This window comes from Homo sapiens, chromosome 1 (assembly GCF_000001405.40).
Source record: "Homo sapiens chromosome 1, GRCh38.p14 Primary Assembly".
NCBI lineage: Eukaryota > Metazoa > Chordata > Mammalia > Primates > Hominidae > Homo > Homo sapiens.
Window position 1 is genome coordinate 14,571,532 of NC_000001.11, and position 24,608 is coordinate 14,596,139.

Sequence of the window (24,608 nt, forward strand, 5' to 3'; positions counted from 1 at the left end):
ATCAATGGCTCCATGCGCCTATGCTGTTTGAACCTTGCAAGTGTTCTGGCAAATTGGTCAGAGGCTAAGGAAACCAGCATGAGAGCAGGGAGCGCCCCCACTCCATCCCCCTATAAAGGCAGCCATCACGTTTGCATTTATCTGTGCTACTTGAATCAGGAACAGTATGGACTGTGAGACTCCGGGCCAGGGTGAATGGTGGTACCTCCCCTCCGCCAAGATTCCATAGAGATTTACCCTTCATCAAATGATCCATCCCTCTAACTGGGCTGGCAACTGGAGCTAAGTAATGAGGATGGCAGGGAAGGAGAGGCAGGGCTTGCATTGAGTTAGCACCAGAGTGGGCTGACAGTGAGGGCAATGTAACTACTCCATCTGGAATTGAACCAGGAGCATCCACCTGGTTCTCTAGTGCAGAGAAACTGGAAGGATGTGGTTCTGATCTAATGTAAACCTCTGGGGAAGCCCCGCTAGGGTAACAGGATCCAGCCAGTGCTATGGGAAGGCTGCCCCCTGCAGCTTCGGGGGAGGTACTTCTTGCATCGTTCCCACCGCCGCTCTGGGATCAGCCCTCAGGAGGCAGGCCAAGTCATTTTCATCATTTAATGGGTAGGTGGGAAACTTTAGAATAACTCAGTAGGTAACACTTTACATTTAAGCATGGCTCTACAGGTTATTTCAGTGGTGGCCAAGGGAATATTTGGGGGCTTCATATTTCTTGATGCAGATTAATGATGCAGAGTCCGCTGGCACGGCATTGTACAAAGGCTGTGTGTTCACGTGGCCAGCATCAGACTAAGGGGCCTCAGGAGGTGCTGGCGTGGGTTCAGAACCCAAGGGAAGAAGAGAATGAGCTGGGCAATCCCCAGTCCTTGAGGCTTCCTGGGTGAAAATAGCCCCAGGCTTCAAAAGGTTTTCTTTGTAATCCAGTCTCCCTGGAGGAGACCCTCTACAATGCCTCCCTGTCCCCAGATCTCTGATCTGTATGACTCTGGGCTCAGAGCTCAGGCCTGGGAAGCAAGAGTATAAAGCCTTCCAGTACAGTTTGCCGGCTGGCTTCTTGTGCGCTTGGCCTGGCTTCTTGTGCACTTGGCCGAGCGGCTCTGTCGCATTGAGCCTATTCCTGAAGCTTTGACCAGGCAGAGCATGTAGGGGCCTTTAAGAAGGGGTATGTGTACCTCATTTGTGACTTCCTTGGCCCCGCGGAGCGGCCCCCCACTCCCCTGGAAGAGAAACAGGAAGAATCAGAAATGTGGAGGATGTCTAGACTCATAGAAAAGACCCCCTTCTTGGACTCATTATTTAGTTTGTTAAACCTAAACACCTAACGGATTAAACATTTATGTAAGTATTAAGTACTTACTATATACCTAGCACTCTTCTGGACATTGCTGAGTCAAGACAATAAAGAAATAAAGTTTTCCGTGCTACCCAGAAAGCTAATGTTCTATCTGTGGAAACCCTTCAGGAGCAACGATGTAACAGACCAGAAAAATGTAACCGATCACTCATGCTCCTCAGCTCTGAGGAATGGGGGAGAGGTTTGAAGTCCTATTTCATGCATGAGAAGCAATACACTTCTGATTCATTAAGTTCCTCCCTCCTAGGGGTCAGTAAACCCATTTCTCCTAAACTACACAGTGCTTCCCACACTCTTCCTTTAAGCCCCATGTGTATTTAGGGAAATTTAGCCAAACAATTCCCAATAATGCATAGCGCACTCATCAAAAAGAAATTAAGCAGCTTTGCTAAAAGCAACTACATTTTCAGGAATCTACTTGTGGCTTTCCCATACACCTCTTTTCTACAAAATGGAAGCATTAGAATACACTAAAACCCGGGCACGGTGGCTTATGCTTGTAATCACAGCACTTTGGCAGGCCGAGGCGGGCAGATCACAAGGTCAGGAGTTCGAACCAGCCTGGCCAGCATGGTGAAACCCCGTCTCTACTAAAAATACAAAAAATTAGCCGGGGATGGTGGTGCACACCTGTAATCCCAGCTACTAGAGAAGCTGAGGCAGAAGAATCACTTAAACCCAGGAGGCAGAGGTTGCAGTGAGCTGAGATCATGCCACTGCACTCCAGCCTGCATGATACAGCAAGACTCTGTCTCAAAAAATTTTTTAAAAAAGAAAGAAATACACTAAACCCCAAAGAAAATGAGTCCAGGTCAGAACTTTAAAAGAAACAAAGCTAAAATATGTTATAAATCAGGCACATAGCATTCTCAGGCTTTTTTTTACTCAAGCTGTCCAGTGTACTTTACCCCTAAGATTGTCACTTTTGAGGATGGAGGAAGAAGGAGAAATTCAGGCATATGAATAGTACCTGAAACAAGAAACATCTTAATAAAGAAAAAAAAGTCTTAATTAAGATAAATATGTTACCAATGCCAGAGGTGGCTAGGAGCTCAGATTCTATTTTCTCAGTCCAACCATTCCTATTGATCTAGTCAATTTTCCCCTGAAAATATAGGCTCTTATTCCAAGCAGCAGTGATTTCATGACATAACGTTTCCAATGAATAATTTTAGGTGTGCATCTCAAAAACTCTGAAGAGACTCTAGAAAATCTACAAGGATTTTTCTTGCTTGGAAAAATAAAATAGAAGGCTGAACAGGAAGGAAGAAAGTGACTGTCATTCCCCTCACCCCCACCTTGGTTTCCTCATGTATAGCTTGGGGAAGTTGAACTTCATGACGTCTCCCTGCACTTCATCAATGGCCTTGAAGTAAAGTTCTCTTTCTTACAAATCCAGACAAGTAATCTCTGTCTGCAGGGAGCTCTGCCTACTGATATGGTTTGGCTATGTCCCCACGCAAATCTCATCTTGAATTGTAGCTCCCATAATTCCCACGTGTTGTGGGAGGGACCCAGTGGAAGATAATAGAATCATGGAGGCGATTTCCCCCATACTGGACTGTGGTAGTGAATAAGTCTCACAAGATCTGATGGTTTTATAAGGGGAAACCCCTTTCTCTTGGCTCTTATTCTCTCTTGTCTGCCGCCATGTAAGACATGCCTTTCATCTTCTGCCGTGATTGTGAGGCCTCCCCAGCCCATGAAACTGTGAGACCATTAAACCTCTTTTTCTTTATAAATTACCCAGTCTCGGGTATGTCTTTATCAGCAGCAGACTAATACACCTACATTCATTCAACCATCATTTGTTGAGCACCTGCTGTTGGCCAAGCTGAATGCTTAGGCACTGAGCATGCAAAGGTAAGAGAGGTCTCGTCCTGCCCTTGTGAGCTTTCAGCCCAGTGGAGGAAACTGACAGTGGCAGGATCATAGAGGAAGTGTGGTGGTGGAAGGGCGTCAGGGATGCTCAGAGCGCACAGAGCAGTGGCTGTCTCTGTTCAGCCAAGACTTCAGAAAGGAACTTGCTCTCCAGGGCATTGAGGAGGAAGAACAAGAGGAAGATACAGCCAGGTGAGGAGCTTAAGCAGCAGGTAGAAAGGCGCAGGTGTGGGAGCTTATGGCACATTTGAGGATTCTGGTAGGTAGTGGCTGGTTCAGATGGACCCTTTATTTCACACGAAGGAATTTAGGCTTAATCCTAAAGATATTAAGGATCCATTGAAGGGGTTCAGCAGAAAGACCTGATTAAAATAATAGGTCATGGAGGTCACTCTGGCAGCAGAGTGGGATTTCAGTTGGTTGGGGGAAGGAGATAAGAGTGGGGTAGTAGTGGATTAGTCTGTTCTCATGCTGCTGAGAAAGACATACCTGAGACTGGGTAATTTATAAAGAAAAAAAGATTTAATGGACTCACAGTTGCACGTGGCTGGGGAGGCCTCACAATCACGGCAGAAGGCAAAAGGCACATCTTACATGGTGGCAGACAAGAGAGAATGAGAGCCAAGAGAAAGGGGTTTCCCTTTATAAAACCATCAGATCTCATGAGACTTATTCACTACCATGAGAACAGTATGGGGGAAACCATCCCCATGATTCAATTATCTCCCACCAGATCCCTCCCAAAACACGTGGGAATTAAGGGAGCTACCATTCAAGATGAGATTTGGGTGAGGACACAGCCAAACCATGTCAAAGAGGTAGTCAGGGAACCAGTGAGGAGGCTGTTGCAGTCATCTAAATGACAAGTAACCAGCACTTGAACTAGGTCAGTGGTCATGATTAAATGGAGGAGGAGACACAATTAAAAGAGTCAGGAGGTAGAATCTTCAAGGACTAGTAACACATCATTGAGGAACCTGGTCGTTCATCTATCCTATGGATATTTTTCGAGCCACTGAACAATGCCACTAAATAATTGTCTATGACCTGTCTTTCTGCTAGCCTGAAAGCTTCTGGGATGAGGGGGACAGTGTCTATACCTTTATTGTCCACCATTATATCTCTAGGCTTTAGTATAGGGCCTGGCACGTAAGAATAAAAATGCATCCCCTTAGGTGAACATTTTGTGGGGGTTGTGAGTCATTTCTCTTTTCAGATATTAAGCTTGTCAAACTTTGACAATTCCGATTCTTACCCAAAGCATCCAGGTTAGGAGTGGTAGGAAAAAGAGCCCATAACTTGGAGTTGGGAGATGAATGTGAGTCCCTGTTCTTCTCCTGTGATCTGTGTGACTTGAATAAGTCACTTAACCTCTCAAGCCTTAGTTGTCACATTTGTAAAATGAAGACGATATTAGTATTGGACCTCACAGATTATAGTAAGGACTAAAAGAGGTTATCAGTGGCAAGAAGTTAGTGTCTGACACAAAGTAAACACTCAGTAAACTAGAAGGATGGAAGGATGGATGGATGGATGGATGGATGGATGGATGGATGGATGGACGGACAGATAAATAGATGGGTAGATGGATGATGGAACAATGGATGGCTGGGTGGATGGATGGATGGATGGACAGATAAATAGATGGGTAGATGGATGAATGGAACAATGGATGGATGGATGGATATATTAATGGATGGATGGATGGATGGATGCACTGATGGATGCATGGACAAATGAAAGGAACATGCTGAAAAGGATATGAAGTCATGCTCCTTCTCTAACCAACTTTATTCCCATTTTGGGGGCTTCTATGTAATAAATTGATTAGTGCTAAAAATTGAAAAGCCATCTGGTCTTGGTTTCTGTGAAAGTCTTATGGCCTGCTGCCATTGAACGCTAAAGATTTAAAGTTCCTATTTTAGGCTCTGTCTAGACACCTCTCTAAATAGGAACTTTATGTTAATCTGCAGGTGTTGCTTATGAACAGGTTATTTCTAAATAGTAGCTGGTACGTTACCAAAAAAAAAGGAAAAAAATCCAAGAGCAAATAATACTTATTGAAACCAAGGTGTCCAATGGGAAAAGTCCTAGTCAATTTGTCTACTCCTCCCATACCACCTGGTTCCTGCCTATATCCTACCCAATTACTGGTGAATCAGATATTCACAGTGGGCATAATTAATTAAATGCATTTTGACTAATTAATTTAAGAACTGGTAAATAGGGCTTCCCTTTGGTAGTTTGAAGACGCAGCTACTGGTGCTACTGATTAAAATGTGAGAGGAATCTGGTTAGAAACCAGCGTGTAATGGATGAGAACACTTTTGCAACATTTCTTTTAAGGTTTGTCAAACTGCATCCTACTGATATTGCTAACCCCCTTTAATCAGTAAGAATAAAATTCTTCTGAGAGCATAAAATACATCTGACAATGGCATACATCAGATCCCAAACTGAACATTCAAAATAAATTGTATCGAGATTTTGTCACAATCATTGATTTCTGCTTTTCAAGCTGGTTTCTGGGGCAGCCACATAAAAGTTAAATACAAGCTATCTACGGGCTCATTGGATTGCGGTAATTCATTAAGCCAATAGTGGCTTTAATAAATCTGAGCATAAAGATTGCTTCCACAGACACCCTCAGCTTGGAAATGTGCCACTAATCAAAGAGGGTGGCAAAACTAATCTCTTTGGCACAGAGGGGAGGTGAGAAGTAGCTTTGGAGGGCTGTCGGGGCTGGCTTCCAAGGGTAATATTGTGCTTCAGCAGCAAGATCAGGCTGCTGGGGAGATGGGAGCCCTTCTGGAACCAGCCCTTCAGCTGCTAGTGGTCAGCACATGGTCATCACAGGCCACTGGTTCTTTGAACAAAGCTGGTTATAGTCTTAAATGTGAGCCCACTCACTGAGTGATCTTAGGCTCCATTGATTGACTTCCATTGCATTCCCTTCCCAATCGTGATAGTGATCATTGCATTCCTGACCATTGACAAAGCTTTTTCACATCCAGCAACACTTTGAATTTCCTGACAACCCTAGGAGAGGCAAGGCCAAGATATTATCATGCCCATTTCACAGATGAGAAAATGGAAGTTTAGAAAGCAACATGATTTGCCTGAAGTTCCATGGCTGGCAGAGCTGGGACCCACGGTCTAACTGTCAAAAGTCCAAACCCTGTGTTCAAACTTCCCCTCTATGACCTACTAGCTCTGTGTCCTTGGGAAAGTGTTTAACCTTCCCAAACTGCAGTCTTCTCACCCGTACACTGAGGATAATAAGTGCATCTACCCCCTACTTGTCAGGATATTCAATGAGCTCCTTCGGATTGGACGCATAATGAGCACATAATCCAAGTTTGCTATTATTCGTATAGAATATCGGGTCATATCCAAAATTTCCATTAATTACTTTCCAGGCCTTACCCAAGAAAAACAAGTTGGATAGGGCCTGGAAAGTAATTAATGGAAGTTTTAAGTTCCATTTCATACGGTAGAGGAAAATCTCTCCCCTGCCTTACACTAGCCTTTACCAACTGTGAAGCACCCTTCTTGCTGGCATGTTAAAGGAGCCCGTGATATTTCAGTCCCTTTCAGCTGTGACTCATTATTGTAAATAGTGGTGAAATGAGGAGAGGAGAAAAGAATTTAAATACACTAACTGACAGAATTTTTAGGGAAAGTGATACACAAGAAGATAAAAAGCAATCAGAAAAATTTACATAAACCCTTGTGATCGCAAAGGTCATCTAGTTGAGAGTCTACTAATGGAAATATGTCCTTTTAGATTCTGGGTGATTATTTAATTGAAAAGGGAAGAATTTAAATGAATCAAGTCTTGGGAGCAGGGTAGATTTATGTCAGCCAAAATTTAAAAATGCATGTTTCTTTGGGAGGAAATGGGTCCATTCATATACAAGTGAAAGTGTAGGATGGAGTAGTAAATTTGGTCACACTTAGAACTTGACTGAGCACTTGAAAATATACTGATATTAATATGCCTTATAATTTTTTTAAATCAGCTTCTGGTTACAGCCCTTATTCTATTTAGGAAAGAGGATGGTTTTATAGCCATTAATTTACTTGAACTTTACAATAACCTTTGGAGATAGGCAGATGAGTATTATCATTACCAGTTTATAAGAATATAATATATACTTCTTGAAGCTGAGGACCAAAACTTTTTGTCCTTTTCTTTTCCCTATCCCCAGCACCTGCCTAATAAAAATGTAAGTTGAATATTGTAGCAGAACCCACTAAATGCTCTGTTTGAGATGTCAGTTTTTTCTTAGAAGTCAGCACAGAAGAGAAACGTAGCACTCCAGCTTTACCGTCAGTCCTCCTGGAGTTCAAATCCTGCCTCTGCCACTTAGGGATTTGCCTAAGTGACCCTTGGAACTTATTTCTTGAAATCTCAGCTTATAACAGTGTTTATAATACCTACCTCATGGAGTTGTTGTAATAATTAGATTTCTATGAGATAAAATGAGAGGAGAAATGCAAGGTAGTTAGTACAATTTCTGACACCCATTAATGCCCCCAAATTGTGGTTTTTCCATATCTCCTGAGTAGTCTGGGCGTGGTGGCTCACGCCTGTAATCCCAGCACTTTGGGAGGCCAAGGTGGGTGGATCATGAAGTCAGGAGATTGAGACCACCCTGGCTAACACGGTGAAACCCCATTTCTACTAAAAATACAAAAAAGCAGCTGGGCGTGGTGGCGGGCGCCTGTAGTCCCAGCTACTCAGGAGGCTGAGGCAGGAGAATGGCGTGAACCTGGGAGGTGGAGCTTGCGGTGAGCCGAGATCGCACCACTGCACTGCAGCCTGGGCAACACAGCGAGACTCCGTCTCAAAAAAAAATTAAAAAAAAAAAAAAAGAAATGCTACAGTAAGCATACTATTTGACCACTGCTGAAAAAAAAATTTTTTTAGCATGCCTTAATCATCTGATTCAGAACGAACGGGAACACACTGAGTGGCTGCTGTATTGCTGGGTAAGAAGCAGCATCCAGGGGGACTCACATGGCAGCCAGGCAGAATGCTTAGCACTCCTGTGAAAAGGCTCTTCTCTAATTTAATGCAATGTGCTGGTATTAATAAGCGGCAGAGAACCCAGTGTGAGGCTGCCCGCTGCCTTTCATACCGGGTTCATTCACTTTATTATTTTCTAGGACATCATATAGACCTTTTGCCAAGTGGGAGGGGGGTTGGGGAAATCTGCTCATTTAATTTCTGAGTAAGGGATAATTAGTACCCATTGTCACTCACAGCTACAGGAATCCGACATCTTTTTTGTGGCATATTATTTAGGATATTTGCAAATTCACTGACCGTCACTGGGACTTCCAGGGTAATTAATTTGTGTTGCAGTCAGCTTAGGTTTCACCATTGCTGGCGAATGTATCTTTAAAGTATATTGAGGCCAGGCAAGGTGGCTCACACCTGTAATCGCAGCACTTTGGGAGGCCAAGGCAAGTGGATCACCTGAGGTTGGGAGTTCGAGACCAGCCTGACCAACACGGGGAAACCCCATCTCTACTAAAAATACAAAATTAGCCGAGCGTGGTGTCGCGTGCCTGTAATCCCAGCTACTCGGAAGGCTGAGGCAGGAGAATTGCTTGAACCCAGGAAGAGGAAGTTGCGGTGAGCCGAGATCGTGCCATTGCACTCCAGCCTGGTCAACAAGAGCGAAACTCTATCTCAAATAAATAAATAAATAAATAAATAAATAAATAAATAAATAAAGTATATTAATAGCGCAGCCATGTGTAATGACGAATGTGTGGCTGACGTTAGTGGATATGGAGGGGCTCAGGATAAGAGGCCTATAGCTGTGAGTTGGACAAGTTGTGTGGTGGGTGAGGATTAGGAGAAAAGGGACTAACATTTAATGGACACCTACTCTGCTCTGGGTTTTAAGCAGGTTTTATGCTGCTTTATTTATGTCTGCTATCTGACTTACTCCTCCCAACCACCCTGTGAAGCCCCTTCTTGCAGTCACCTTTGACCTCTGCATTCCAGATTCTTGGTCGATCATTCGATGTCATCAATGTCATCAACCAATGTCATCAATCATCAATGTCATCGCTTACTCAGCCTATTAGAAAGTTTTAACAGGGCCTCCTTCAAACACTTTCTCTCCACGGCTTTCGGGACACCACTTCTCTCACTGCTCCTTCTCGGTCTTTTTTGCTTGTGTCTCCTTATGACCTTGACCTCTAAATATTGGGAGACTCAGTCCCTGGGCCTTTCCCTTCTCTTTCAACATGGATTTGTTAGATTTCATCCACTCTTGGGCCTCTGGATAACATCTACATGCTGACACCTTCCAAATTCATATTTCCAGCTCAAACCCCTCCCCTGAACTCCAAGCTTGTGTATCCAACTGTCCACCTGATATTGCCATTTGGATGTCTAACACGCATCTCAAAATCAGCATACACTCTATCCCCAAACCTGCTCCTCCCACCGCCTTCCGCATTCGGGAAATGAATGTTTCATTCTTCCACTTGCTTAAATACAAGCATTCAGGTCATCCTTTTCTCCTCTTTCTCTCACATGTGTTGCATTTAGCCTGTCAGCAAAACCTGTGGCTCCACCTTCAATACTGATCTAGAATCCATTCACCTTTCCATACTCTACCTCTCGACTCCATCACCACCTTTTAAACCACCGTGGTACCCTGCTAGATATGGCAACAGCTGCCTACATGGTTTCCTGCCTTCACTTTTGTCTCTGGACAGCCTTTGCCACACAGCGTGCCAAAGCATAAATCATCTCGTGTCGTTCCTCTACTCAACACCGGTCAGTGTCCCCCATCTCACTCAGAATAAGAGCCAAAGTCCCTACAAGACCTCACAGTCCCCAAGGGGACCTGATCGGGTCCTACTTCTCTCTGGCCTCATCTGCTGCCCACACCTCCCTTCATTCCACTCCATGCCTGCCCCACTGTTTCTCAGACAAGTCAGGGCCTCTCATATCTCTGAGCCTTTGCCCTCCCTAGAAATCTCCCTGGCTTGTTCCTGTGTGTGATTCAGGTCTCTACTCAATGTCACCTTACTGGATAAGTCAGGTTCCCCAACCATCTCATATAAAATAGAAGCCAAATGTCATCCCCAGTTCTCCTTCTCCCCCTTCGTCCTTTAGTTCCTGTTCCCCTCTCTTTCCCCTTCCCACACATTATATACTTACATTTGTATGTAGGCATGTCTACCTCGTACCACCCAGACTAGAATGTAAGCTCCAAAAGGGCAGGGACTTTGCCTATTTTTTTTTCACTGCTGTATTTACAACCCCTAGAATAGCATCTGACATGTATTAGGTGTTCAGTACCTATCTGTTAGTACAGATCACAACATCCCTATTTTACAAGCAAAAAAAACCTAAAGTTTAGAGAGGTCAATAACTTTCCCAGAATTCCATGGAATCTGTTGACTTTCTAGATCAAATGACAGGAACCCCAGCCAGGTCTGCCTGACTCCAAGTCCTGTGTTCTCACCACCTCCTCCAGAAAACGCTAAGGATTTGCCATCTTAAAGTGGGCATCAAGAAGAGCTTCTTGGTGTGGAGCAAAATCAGTTTTGGGCAGGTCACTTCCCAATTTTAGCTTGTCTCTTCCTCTACACAATGAGAGGGCTGAACTGGGAGACTTTTAGAGACCGACTCTTCAGCTTGAAAACCTGGGAATTTTTCATTCCATCTCACACAAACCCTGATGGCACTTTGGGTCAGTTGATCCATGTTGCAAAGGTGGTTCTCAGACAACAGGATGAGACTGTCCTTTACAAACACTTGTTCCCAAATCTGGGACATGTGGATGGGCACTGGAGGAATGGAACCTTCAGGTGGGGCTCATCCCCTTCAGCAATTCTGCTCAGCAGGAAGGGGTGGGAAGCACCACTAACCTAGACTTGGAAAAGAGATTTGAGACTCTTGTATTGTGAACTGGTCTCCAAGGTTGTTTTAATCTTAAGAATTTTCTTGATGAGAGAAATAAAACATAATTTTCATTTTTAATGGATCTTTATTATGTGAAGTTAAAAGAATCAATGAATGACATATCTTCACTCAAAAACACGCTCTTAAAGGGGCACAGAATCAAGCTCTTCCTGGCATGAATGTTGATTTGTCTGTCTCAGCCACTAGACCATGAGCACCGTTAGGGCAGAGACTGGGCCTCCTCCATCCCTGCAGCCCCATCACATAATATACTGCCCAGGAGAAAGCAGAGAGGTGAACATTTACAAGCATTTGTTCCATGCCTGGTGAGCTTGTCAATCCTTTACCCTTATCAACTCACTTAATCTTCACAACAAACCTATGCGACAGAAACTACACTATTATTGTCATTCCGCAGATGAGAAAACTGAGGCACAGAGAAGGCAAGTTCCTTACCCAACATCAGAGACCTGGTGGAGGTCAACCAGGGATTTGGCCCCAAACATTCCAGTTCCAGAGGCAAGTCTGCAGTCTAAGCTAGTACACTATCCTGCCTCTTGTAGGTGTATGCTTAGCAGAGGGTGGTGGACAAATGAGTGAATAAGTACAAGAGTGATCACGATGATTACAACTAGCACACATGAATGCTCCTTGTGTGCCAGCCACGAGAACACCTGCAATCCAGTTTCCTGCATGCAGACATGGGAATGCTCTAGGAGATGCACGTGTAGGAGTGAGGAAGTCAGGATTAGGTGGACAGAGAAGCTGGCAGGTAGTGTGCTTTGTCATGATGCCTTGAGGGAGCTCCAGAGCTGGCCTTTCAGAGGGGTCCCAAATGGAGGCAAAGGAGCTGGGATTTTCTATCCAAGTCACTGGCCCAAGGCTGGTTCCTGGGTGGGAGCATAAGCTTGGGTGAGGCAGGCCCCTGCTCTTGCAGCAGAGGGTGATAGCTGGTGAGGGGGCAGCTATGGGACTTTAGTGGCTGATATTCCTGGTCTTGGCAGGTGACCCTGAAGAGGATGGCTAGAGGAAAGCTACAGTATCCACTCTGCAGGCTAGGGCTTGGTGTGATGATCGCGTTTATTCCTCATCACCATCTTGAAACAAGCTAGACATTTGTATTCCCCCCTCCCCTACCTTTATAACAGAGAAAACTGGAACTCTGGGAAGTTGTGCAGCTCACCTAAAGCTGCCATCTAGGAAGTCAAGGCTGGATGGAAGCCCAGTGTGTCTGATTAATAGTCTGAATGAGTGGCCTAGATCATCATCTCCAAGTCCCCGCCCAGGCTGCAGGTCAGGGCTCATTATCTTGTTGTTGGGGCAGGGATGTGTTGCGTGTGGACATGCGTTGCCTGGTCTGCCCAGGATTCCTTCTCCTTCTGCTAAATCACTCCCCCAGCCCTGGACAAGTGCTCCTCCCCACTCCATGCACCTCTGGTGGGACCACCAACCCAGTTCCCTGGGGTCGTGGGGCTGGGCGTATACACAAGGCCTGGTCAATCAAAGGAGCATGTGCCCTAGTCTTGGTGACTGACCGAGGGATAGGCCCAGTTGTCCAACAACCGGAGAGAGAAGCTGTCTTTTTCCTTTGAGGCAGCTAAGGTAGAATGAGGTAAGCCCGGAGTTGCCTTTGGCCGTGTTGTTCAAGCCTTCTCTGGGTGGAGAAAGGCCAGTGGCACAGGAGAGGATGAGAAACAAGGCCACTCCACAGAGAGGAGCAAGAAGGCATTGCTGGAGCTGCTGGAGTTCCTGAAGTCAGCTCTGCCTCTAGACTTCCCAGTTGTGAGAGCCATAAATTCCCCTTGGTATCTAAACCAGTGCTTGCCAAGTTTCTTTCACTTGCAAGCAATGTGATGGGCCGAAGTGTACCTGTTCAAAATTCATAGATTAAAATCCTACCCCCAGTACCTCAGTGTGCAATTGCATTTGGAGACAGTCTTTTTTTTTTTGAGACAAAGTTTTTGCTCTTGTTGCCCAGGCTGGAGTGCAATGGCACAATCTTGGCTCACTGCAACCTCTGCCTCCTGGGTTCAAGCGATTCTCCTGCCTCAACCTCCCGAGTAGCTGGGATTACAGGCATGCACCACCACGCCTGGCTAATTTTGTATTTTAGGTAGAGATGCGGTTTTCCACATTGGTCAGGCTGGTCTCAAACTCCCGACCTCTGGTGATCCTCCTGCCTTGGCCTCCCAAAGTGCTGGGATTACAGGCATGAGCCACTGGGACTGGCCTGAAGATAGGGTCTTTAAAGAGGTGATGAAGAGAAAATTAGGTCATGTGGGTGGGTCCTAATCCAACACAACTGGTGTCCTTACAAGAAGAGGAGATGAGGACACAGACATGCACAAAGGAATGTGCATGGGAGGATACAGGGAGAAAGTGGCTGTCTACAAGCCAAGGAGAGAGGCCTCAGAAGAAACTAACCCTGCCAACCCCTTGACCTTGGACTTCCAGCCTCTAGAACTCTGAGGAAATACATTTCTGTTGGTTAAGCCCCCTAGTCGGTGGTTCTTGGTTATGGTTGCCTAGCAAAGTACTACAGGCAGGATGGCACCCTTGAGGGACGGTGCTAATTTCAATCATGTGTTAGTCAGCTTTTGCTGTGCAACAAACAGCCTCAGAATCTCAGTGGCTTGCAACCATATTCATTTTTCTCATTTGTGGATCTGCACAATGGCAGGACGTGGCTAGGGCTTGGCTGGGGTTTACCTCAGGCCAGGTTCAGGTTTGCTCCATATGTCTGCATTTCAGAGCTGAACATTAAGGCAGTTACTTGGGGCACGTTCTTCCCACGCAGGATCACAGAGCAGAGGAGGCCAAGCCAAAGAGTGTGAACACATTCAAGGTCCCTGCTTGCTGCAAGCCCACTAGCAATCCAGGGGCCAAAGCAAGTCACATGCCCAAGCCTAACATCAGGGGGTCAGGGAAAGGTACTCCACCTACTTCAAGTAACGAGGCAAAAGGCAAGATAGATGGGTAATACTATGAATGGGAAGGAGTGAGGAATGACAAACACAAATCCAGTCTACCACCAATAGTCAAGGGGAATGAGGAGAGGGTGCCGAAAGATTCCTGAGGCAGCAGAACGTCCCAGCCCACCGCACCGATGTCAGCTAAAGTGTCACATCGCCCACATCCCCGAGGGAAGATGGGCTTCTGCTGATTGTCTGTTAGAATTACAGCAGAGTCAGCTGAACCCCAACACCTTCCCAGAACTGCACACGCCATCTCGAGGCAGCAGCTCCGTGTGCAAAGAAACCAGGTCCCTCCTGGGAGATCAAAATCAATTTTAAACAGACACAGCTGTTCCCTAGTGGGGGTGTTGGAAGGGAGAGGGGGAGATGCTGTAGGAAATGTTTCATTTCTTTTTGTTGTAAATTGTTGGGATAACCAAAGAAGACTTGTAAAGTTTGATTATTAATTTCTGGAAGACTCGGTTGCCAAGTTTGCTATCAGTTTCAAGGAAAGGAAGTGTAAGATCAAAGGAATGCTTCCTAGTGGAGGTTTTCACCTCATATTAAGCTTAGAAGCTTTTCAAAACAGAGTGATCAGAAGTAGAGCTGGTCTGTTTTTGTGATGTGCCGCACAGATGGATCAATCAAACGCCACAGTTTAATACGGTTCAACAAATGTTTACTGAACACCCACCATGGTCCTGGGCTCACTTAAACAAACAGAAACAAATCATAGTAATAGTAAGAATTGCTACTCCATGTGTAGGTCATCTGGGCAAGTTAAATTGTCTCTCTGGGTCTCAGTGTCTTCATCTGTAAAACAAGCCTGTTTGACTAAGCATGAACTTTTTTCTTTCTGGTTTTTTTTTTTTTTTTTTTTAGAGATAGAGTCTTATTCTGTTGCTCAGGTGCTGGAGTGCGGTGGCACAATCATAGCTCACTGAAGCCTCAAACTCCTGGACTCAAGTGACCCTCCGGCTTTGGCCTCCCAAAGCACATGCCTAGGACTGCAGGCATGTGCTACCACACCCAGATATGTTTTTTTTTTACTTTTTGTTCAGATAGGGTCTCGCTTTGTTGCCCAGGCTGATCTCAAACTCTCGGGCTCAAGTGATCCTCGTACCTTGGCCTCTCAAAGTGCTGGGATTGTAGGCATCAATCAAATGCCAGTTTAATACAGTTCAACATTTAAGTTCAAAGCAAGCATGAACTTTGAGGTTCCTTCCAGATATAGAATTCTAAAATCCACAAATTGGGTGATGTTTTTTCCTCACTTGCTGACAATTAAAATTAGAGGTGTGCGTAAAGGAAATGAAATCCACACTGCTGAAGCTATGAGAACCACAGAATGCTCAAGATTTTTCCCAATGGTAAAGCTAAGAATCCCTGAAGCAGAAGATTAATAATTACACGTATATTCATTCTTCCCTGTATTAGTTCTTGCAGTCTCTACAAAGAAATACCTGAGCCTGGGTAATTGACAAAAGGGGCCAGGCGCGGTGGCTCATGCCTGTAATCCCAGCACTTTGGAAGGCCAAGGAGGGTGGATCATCTGATATCAGGAGTTCGAGACCTGCCTGACCAACATGGTGAAACCCCATCTCTACTAAAAATACAAAAATCATCCGGGTGTGGTGGCATGCACCTGTAATCCCAGCTACTCAAGAGGCTGAGGCAGGAAAATTGCTTTAACCCGGGAGGCAGAGGTTGCAGTGAGCCGAGATTGTGCCACTGCACTCCAGCCTGGGTGACAGAGCGAGACTCCAACTCAAAAAAAAAAAGAAAAAAAAAAAAAAGAGGTTTACCTGGCTTACACTTTTGCAGGCTGTACAGGAAGTGTGGTGCTAGCTTCTGGTGAGGCCTCAGGAAGCTTACAGTCATGGTGGAAGGCAAAGTGGGAGCAGGCATGTCATATGGCCAGAGCAGGAGTGAGAGTGGGGGGCGGGTGAGGAAGAGAGAAAGGGAGGAGGTGCCGTACTCCCGGAAACAACCAGATCTCGTGTGAACTAACTGAGTGAGAACTCACTCATCACCAAGGGTTTGGTACTAAGTCGGTCATAAGACATCGGCCGCCATGATCCAATCACCTCCCACCAGGCCCCACCTTCAACACTGAGGATTTCATTTCGACATGAGATTTGGAGGGGACAAACAACCACACTATATCATTCCCCTTCTACGCACCTCCCCAGAAAAAAAGATGACTGTTCCAACATCATCCTCAGTTCAGGTGTGTATATGAATCCCATCTTCATTACATTTTTCAACTCAGTAGCACCCATGTTGCGTTTGAGTGGAAGGAGGCCATACAGAAAAGTAGTAAGAGGGGGGCCACTGGCATCCCTGTGGCCTGTGGCTGAGTCTCAGCCCTGCCACTCTTGAGCTGTAAGACCTTGGGGGAGTAAATTAACCTTCCTGAGTCTCAGTTCTCCTCTCTGTAAAACGGGGATGATCATGGTAGCTTCTTCCTCATAGGGTTGACATTAAGTACTTAGCACCGGGTGTGGTGTAAGAATCATTGCCACTTCTCATTTTCATAGCACCCCTTCCCACAGCACTTTCAAGCAAATCTGGATTTTGAATCTACCAGCTCATTTAGCCTCTTCTTGGATAGTTGAGACAAATTCAAGAAAGAAAAGAGGTATATGGTTGCTGAAATTTAATGTAAAATATCTTCATTCAGTGTTCTTCATGTAAAGGCATACATAGATTTGTGAAGGTACATGTTACTTTGAATTAAAACGCTAGCAACAAAATTATCTTGAAAATAGAAACTAGATACCCTCTGAGTGAGGAAGGTGGAAATCCCACTGGTCAGTGATATGTATGATCATTTCCTGCTTAGCTTCCGAAGGGAACTTACGCACCTGAGTGCCAGAGCTCCATCCTCTGAGTCTGTGCCCCCCAGCAGGGCTCCGTTTGCCTGAGAGAAGGGGGCAAATATTTTTCTAATTTGCACAAAGGTGTCCGTGAGCTAGCCAGTCCGTCTTTTGAGAGACATTGAAGTGCACACTTTGGTCTGATGCCTCCTAATGAATGACAGGACAAGAACCTGGATCTGTCTTTCTTTTCTTCCCCAAAGCTGCCTAGAAGGTATCAAGCTCCCAGTGTTATAACCTGGCTTTCTGCAGGACTCCCTCGGGGTTCCTCACTGGCAGGGGAAGAATGAAGCTCAGTTTCTTTTCTTCTAGACAGTTTCATCTCTTGAATACATGACAATTGTTTCAGAGCCTGGACAGGTACGTTCTTGCACTTGCGGTCCCAGTGTTTTGAGGACCTAGGCGTGGAGCCAGTAACTGGAGGAGAGTTTGGGGCCATGGGCACGGATGCAGAACACCAGAGCAGGCAAGGGAAGGGCAAACTTGAGCCCCTCCCCTTGGTACTTGTTTTTACCTCCCAACCTGCCCTCTTCTAAGTCAAATCTACTTGTTTCTTTCTCAAAAGGAAAGACATCGGCAGCTGGCTGTTCCTGGGTGAAGCTGTCAGAGTACCTACCATCTTGCTACCAAGATGGCTGAGGATATGATCAAAAGCAAAATAGCTGATACTGCCATGAGCAACACAGCTCCCTCTTGAACTGCAGAGACACCTAATAATGTGGCCTTGGAGTTCCAAATATGATATCGTAAATTGCTTTACACCTCCTCAGCATAAAACAAGGCAGGTAAAAAAAAAAAAAAGGGAGGGGGGGCAGTCAATTAAGATAAACATGACAGCTTTGCACCTGGCTGGCTATAGACACAGCATCCTAACAAGTCGGCCATTGAACAAAATATCTCCCTTCCAATTATGCATACAACTGGACAGTGAGTACTGAATATTAGGGCAGATGGCTGCAGGAACAGCCCTTCATGGCACACTGACTTATACAGCGTACACCATTTGGCAAATACAGATTTTTCCCGGGGCACTTTGGTGTTGGAATAATTTAGTATTGGCTCAAGGGACAAGATCTACGGCCGCTTCCTACTACCACTGCTTCCAATTCCTGAAGAAAGATGGTGCACCTTGTCAGATCTGAGACCCCTTTGCAATAAATCATCAAGGGATGTTAGAGTCTTCATTCCTCTGGTCTTGTGGTACCTAATATAATGTTTCCTCTGTGGCCTTGAATGGGGGCTCACGCTGTTCTTTGTGACATATTTGGGGGAGAAAGTACTTTTCGTAAGAGAAGAGGACTTATTCGGTGAGTAAAGCATCCTGGGAGTAGAAAGAAATGAACTCAAGGAAGCAGAAGTCCATAAGAATCTGGGAAAAGAATGGGGGCCTGAGTAGAAATGAGTGGAAAACTCTCCTCCTGAAGATACATTTTAGTTAAATAAATAAATGTGAAAGAGCAAAGTAGGGCGATAAAGGCGTCCTGAGATGCCTGAGTTTCATCTTATGAAACTCAGCTCCTCACCAAATCGAATGCACCTCTGTTTAAAAATAGCCCCCTACCCTCCAAGAAAGCATCAAAAACAACTTTTATAGAATAGAGATCACAGGAATAATAACACTACCAGTGAGCAAAAAAATAAATTACCCATTTAGGGTAGGTGTGTTAAGTGTTTCAAATCACTGGGGTACCATTTTATGAGCCAAAAGAACTCATTTACCAAATGGGTCCCCAGGGCCTGGAATAACAAATGCACCAGCCACAGAGGAGTAGCTCCCTCCTCTGCTTCTGCCTCAGATCTGAACCTTTTGCAGAGAGTGAAGGGGATTGGGTTGGAAGGGACACAGAAGGTCTCTCACTGCCTCAGCGAGTGCAGGGATGACTTCACGTATTAGAGGGGGAAATGAGAAAGAAACAAAAGGTGGAAACCTTAGAATTGGGCACACCTAGGTGTGACTCTGGTTATTCTACCTCTTAGCTAGGTGAATGTGAGCAAATCCCCTGAGCCTGAGTGTTTTACTCATGGTGACCTCAGTGTTGGGAAGATTCAGCCTGAGTTAGTAGAAATAAATGGTTGAGCAAACTGGCAGACCACAGTGGATGCCTGAAGAATGAGAGCTACCATCACAACTATTACAGCCACGGTCTTCATCACCATCACCATCATCTCCATCACCGATAACATCTATTAATTTCTTTCTAGGCACCAGACACTCTTCCAGATGGTTTCCAATGCATCATCTCTCTTAATTCCTCAACAAGTCTATGAAATCAGCAGCAATATTATTCCCATTTTCCCAGTGAGGAAGTTGAGACAGTAAGCAACTCATCGAGTGTCTCAGAACTAGTACGTGGCAGGGCTGGACTTAAACCCATGCCTAACTAAGTCTAGAGCCTATGCATTGGAGCTACCCCTCCCCCGACACCAAAGGCGGGATGAGATCATTGATGACGTCAGCTAACATCCTCCTGCTAGTAGGCTGTAGAGAGGGTGCCTTCGCTAAAATGGGAAATTAGAGCAGATTTAGGAGAGTGTAGGAGTGGCTAGAACACTTGACCCTATCCTCTTTAGCTTTGTTGGGGGGACCTCTCAGAAACTGTTCTGGGTTGCTGGAAAATCAAATAGTGCCCCCCCCCCATGGACACAGCCACCGCATGAGAGGGCAAGAGGTCAGTCAGGCAAGATGCCCAGGGGTTGAACCAGGTCTTTGGAGTGTAGTGATATTTCTCTGAGGGTGGAAATATTTGTCTCTGGGTTATATATTTTGCTTGGCTGTGGTTGTTTTTCCCTGTCACTTACAGAGGCTGTGACAGAGTCGAGAACCCAGGCCAGCACACATATTCTCTTGTAAGGCCCCGAACAGGGAAAGAAGAAACACACACACACACACACACACACACACACACCAAGAAAGATTCAAGGAGGGAAAAAAATGCACTTGCACTTCTACCAAGGAATTAGAGACTTTAAGTATATATGCTTATGTGTTTAAGTCTGTGGTTAGAATGTCTATTAATATTTATCAATTTCATACCTAGGAGCTTCTGAATTAGAAGTGATTATTAAAGGACTGTTTGCAAATGAAAAATCTGCAGAAGGAACTGAGTTGGTTAAATATATACACAGAAGGGATGCGCCTGACCGACTTTCCCAGCTTTAGATGAGAGATTGCTTGGGAAGACAGGAGGAGCTTGTCATTCTTTACACTAATAACTCTGCTGTGTGTCCACACTGATATATACTAGGGGGTGTGTGTGCATGCACGCGCCCATGTGTGCGTGTGTTTCATCAACACTGAACGCATAGATTTCCATCTTATAGCTGCTGGCTGTCTCTTTAAGCCCCACACTCCTCTCCCCTGTTTTTTCCTCCTGGTATCTTTTCTTCTCCATCTTTTCATTTCATAGCTGTGGTTATGAGGGTGATGAATAGGAGAAGGATAGCTGTTGGGGTTCCGCGGCCTGCACACTTCTCTACGGCTCTGTTCCCTGCTCCTGGTCCTCTCACTCACAGCCCTGAGCCTTGGCCGCTCCTGTCTGGAGATCTGTTGCCCTTTTCCCCAGAGCACATGTTAAAACCCACTCAGACAAAGTAAACCATGTAAATGTACAAGAAATTCATCTCCTAGATAGGCCAGGATTCACATGTGACAATTTGAATAAACAGAGACTCCGTCTGTGGAGAGGGAGGGTAACTCCCCAAGGACTGTCTCTTGGAGGGGGATGAGGAGGGCACACAGGACAGATATGATCCAGAAAACAGAGAGCAGGAAGCTCTCACAGCCACTCCTGAGGCTCAAAAGGCTCCTGGCATATACATATTTCACACGTGCTCAGTGTTTTCTGGGCATCTGGGTGTCTGGACCGGTGAGTCTCCAACTTCATGACGCATCAGATTCTCCTGGGCAGCTTGTTGTAAATGCAGATATCGAGACACTGGGCACCACACCAGGGATTCTGGTTGATCAGGGGTGGGGCCTGGGCTTCTGCATTTTCACAAGCAGCTTCTGAGAATTCCATGTCATGTGGTCTTCATCTTCGCTTCGGGAAACACTGAAGACCAGAGGCTTGTGGCTAGAGCCTAGGAAGGGACACCGTTTGCAGGAAGTGGCCTTCAACATTGGCTGCAGGGAGCAGGACCCCATTCGTGGCTCTCTCTCTGGCTCCTGCAAGCAGCCACTTGCCAACCCAAAGAAGCATGAGAGTTTCTCAGGGCACTGACTCCAGGGTCAAGAAGTTCATCACTCACTGGCTTCCCTTTCAGCCTTCCCCCTTTCCACCTTGTCCCACGTACGGATTCCTGGAATCCAGGATTTATCACTCAGCCTTACCAGGTGGAATGCATGAATGCCGCCTCTGGTCTCTGAGCTAGGCAGAAACGATGCTTCTGATAGGATAGGAGAGAAAACTGGGCTTTATGTGGGAGTATCTGAGTCCTGGCCCCCAGCTTATCCACTCAACAAGTATGTGCTGAGCACTGAAGGGATAAGAGGTGGAAGGAAGTGCAGGCAGTTTTGTGATGCTTGGACAGATCTCTTAACTTCAGTGTCTTCATCTGCCATGTGCAGATACCAGTACCCTCTCTACCCAACGGAGTTGTCGCAAGAATAAAATAAGAGAACTGTGAAAGTGCTTTGCAAAATTAAGATGTGACTAGAATTCCTGGAGAAGACTGAATGAATATGAGAAGGGTTTTAATGAGAGTAGCGAGAATATTTGTGGATATGAATTTGTAGGGGACAAGGAAGATGAATTTGTTCAATCAACCACAAACTCTTTGGAGAAGCATCTATCACACCAGACAGGGGGAGCAGAAAGCAGAATGGGATATAAACCCTGCCTTCCTGAGGCTCACGGTCTGGCTCATTGGGTACATGCGGGGGAGGGACGGAGTAGTTTTAGCCAGGGCATTTTACTGCATGCAATAGAAATAATCAAATTAGCTCAAGAAAAGGGCATTTATTCTTGGGAATTCCATGGAATCCAAGACAAAGAAGAATAAGCAGGATTGTTTTGGAAACCCCAGGAGTTTAAAGACCTTCACCCCAGGGAGCCAAACTCTTGGGGACTTATCTCTCAAATCCTTCAGTCTGTATTTCAAATTCCCAAATAAATAAACAGAACAATAACCAATGGCCATATACGCTATGAAATAAGTAAATGTTGAATGTTAAATCTGAGGGATGAAAAGGAATCAGATGCAGAGAGCCAGGGGGAGAATGTTCCAGGGAGAGGCAAGGGAAAAGGCAAAGACCTTGAGGTCAGAAACAATTAAGTGGCAAGAGAGTGGTGAGCAAGTGGTGTGGTGCAAGAAGTCAGTGGCCAGTTTATGCAAGGCTGTGGGTGTAATTTAGGAAGTGCCACGTGACACACATCAGTGGAAAGATGGGCCATTTTCTGAAGACCCTGGTTAAATTCTTCCCAGCCCCTTCACTGACAAAGCTGCGTGGTTCATTCCTAAATCTGGGGTCTCTCTTTCTCTGTCTGTAAATAAGGAGGGCACTAGAGTAGACAATCCCCATTGCCTTCTAGGACCAAATAGCGTCATTCAATCATAGAGTAGGGCAACCATATATACTGGGTTTCCTGGGACAATTCCTATGTATGCCACTTGTTTTAGCTTAATTCAATTACTCATTGCGCCCTCTTTTGCTCTCAGCAGCATCCCAGTCTTGACGTTATATTATGAGGTCACTCTATTTCTGGGAAAAGGGAGGTGCATACGGCTGTGCTGTCAGCAATGGGTTAGGCCCTTAGCCTTGATTCTTGATAGGAATTTCCTTTCTCTGAGCTACAGGGAAGCTGGTTTTGCAGACTTTTCAAAATACCCAGGCAAGCTTTGATGGGCAACAAACACACACGGCACAGTTGGCTTATTCTGCTCAGAAAGATCAGACAATGTACGTAGAGGCTGGTGACCACATATGAGCCGAGGCCTGGACCTTGGATGGGGTTGGGCTGGTTGAGAGTGATAGCAGCAGTGACAGTGGAAAAATGATAGCAAGTCCCTATGAAGTGGACCCATTTTCTGTCTTGGTTCTTAACATCAGCCTACTGGGGTGTGAGATTGGGACTATTTGGGGAACACGCAAAAGGGGGAACCCTGAAACAGAACCCACAGTACTGCCAAATTCTCATAGCTGTGAATCCCATGGAGAGACAGCTGTGGATGACAGACTTCTCTGGAATCCTTCTCCCAACAGTTTGCAGGTGTGTCCCAGGACACCGGCGGTAAACGCCTATCAGCCCCCATAGACAGGCAAATGGGCTTGCAGGAGGGGGTTAGGCCAGTGGGAGGGGACACAGATTCCGCTGACCAACTGGACCAACCAAGGCACTTAGAACTGCTTGGTGTAACTTTGGGAGGCCAAGGCAGGTGGATCACAAGGTCATGAGTTCAAGAGCAGTCTGGCCAAGATGGTGAAACCCCGTCTCTACTAAAAATACAAAAATTAGCCAGGGGTGGTGGTGGGCACCTGTAACCCCAGCTACTCGGGAGGCTGAGGCAGAGAATTGCTTGAACCCGGGAGGCAGAGGTTGCAGTGAGCCAAGATCACACCACTATGCTCCAGCCTGGGAGACAGACCAAGACTCCATCTCAAAAAAAAAAAGAACTGCTTAGTATATCTGCAAACCAGGATTCAGTTCTTTGTAGTCTTTCAGTTACCTTATGGGGGGGCAGCATCAAAACTACAGAGCTGTGTGGGTCTTGAAAAGGGGGATGCCGTGGTGCAGCCATTGTGGAAAACATATTAGCTGTTCCTTGAAAAGTTAAACATAGCAACCGTTTTGTTCCTTGAGGTCACCTCCGGAGGAGCGGTGGTAAAGCCTGGGGATAAGAAACGTAGACCCGGCCGAGCGCTGTGGCTCACGCCTGCAATCCCAGCACTTTGGGAGGCCGAGGCAGGTGGATTGCTTGAGGTCAGGAGTTCGAGACCAACCTGGCCAACCTGGTGAAACCCTGTCTCTACTAAAAATACAAAAAAAAATTAGAGGGGTGTGGAGGCCTGCACCTGTAATCGCAACTACTCAGGAGGCTGAGGCAGACAATCCCTTGAACCCAGGAGGCGGAGGTTGCAGTGAGCTGAGATGGCGCCACTGCACTCCAGCCTGGGCGACAGAGCAAGACTGCGTCTCAAAAAAAAAAAAAAAAAAGAAAAAGAAAAAGAAAGAAAAAAGAAAGGTAGACCTTTTTGGTTTAAATCAAGTATACCCGCAGAGGCTAATTGATTGCAGACTTTCTATCTAAGATCTAGTCCTTTGGTGTGTGGGTGAACATAAGGACACACAACTGGAAAAAGCCCCTTTTTTTCATGTTAGGAAAAAAAACTCTCAAAAAATAAAATTCTTAAAATCCTAGGAGGCACCCCAGGAGTTTCTAAAGCAGCTTCTTGAAACCTCAAAAATAGAGGGATGAGAAGGGGCTCAAGGAATGAGTCTTTTCTTTTCTCCTTATTAGATTTTTTTGTTTTGATTTGATTTGAAGATTCCGGTGTGTGGGAATAATCTCACTGAAGAGCAAAATGAGTAACACTGGGTCACTTTGTTTACTACACAAACACACTCACACGCATTCATTTACAGAACACTTACTAC

General features: G+C 45.6%; 1 protein-coding gene across 6 annotated transcripts in view, besides 1 other annotated feature; it reads left to right on the forward strand.

Moving 5' to 3' along the window:
- The window catches only part of KAZN (kazrin, periplakin interacting protein), a 1,225,220-nt gene that overhangs the window by 678,708 nt on the left and 521,904 nt on the right, over nucleotides 1-24,608 (forward strand). The gene's annotated exons all lie outside the window — the stretch shown is intronic.
- Nucleotides 482-1,046: an enhancer, noted in NCBI's record as "H3K27ac-H3K4me1 hESC enhancer chr1:14898509-14899073 (GRCh37/hg19 assembly coordinates)". NCBI's record gives its function as "activates a minimal SCP1, AML or CMV promoter by ChIP-STARR-seq in naive H9 embryonic stem cells {active_cell/tissue: H9 hESC(naive)}" and the evidence as "EXISTENCE:reporter gene assay evidence [ECO:0000049][PMID:30033119]".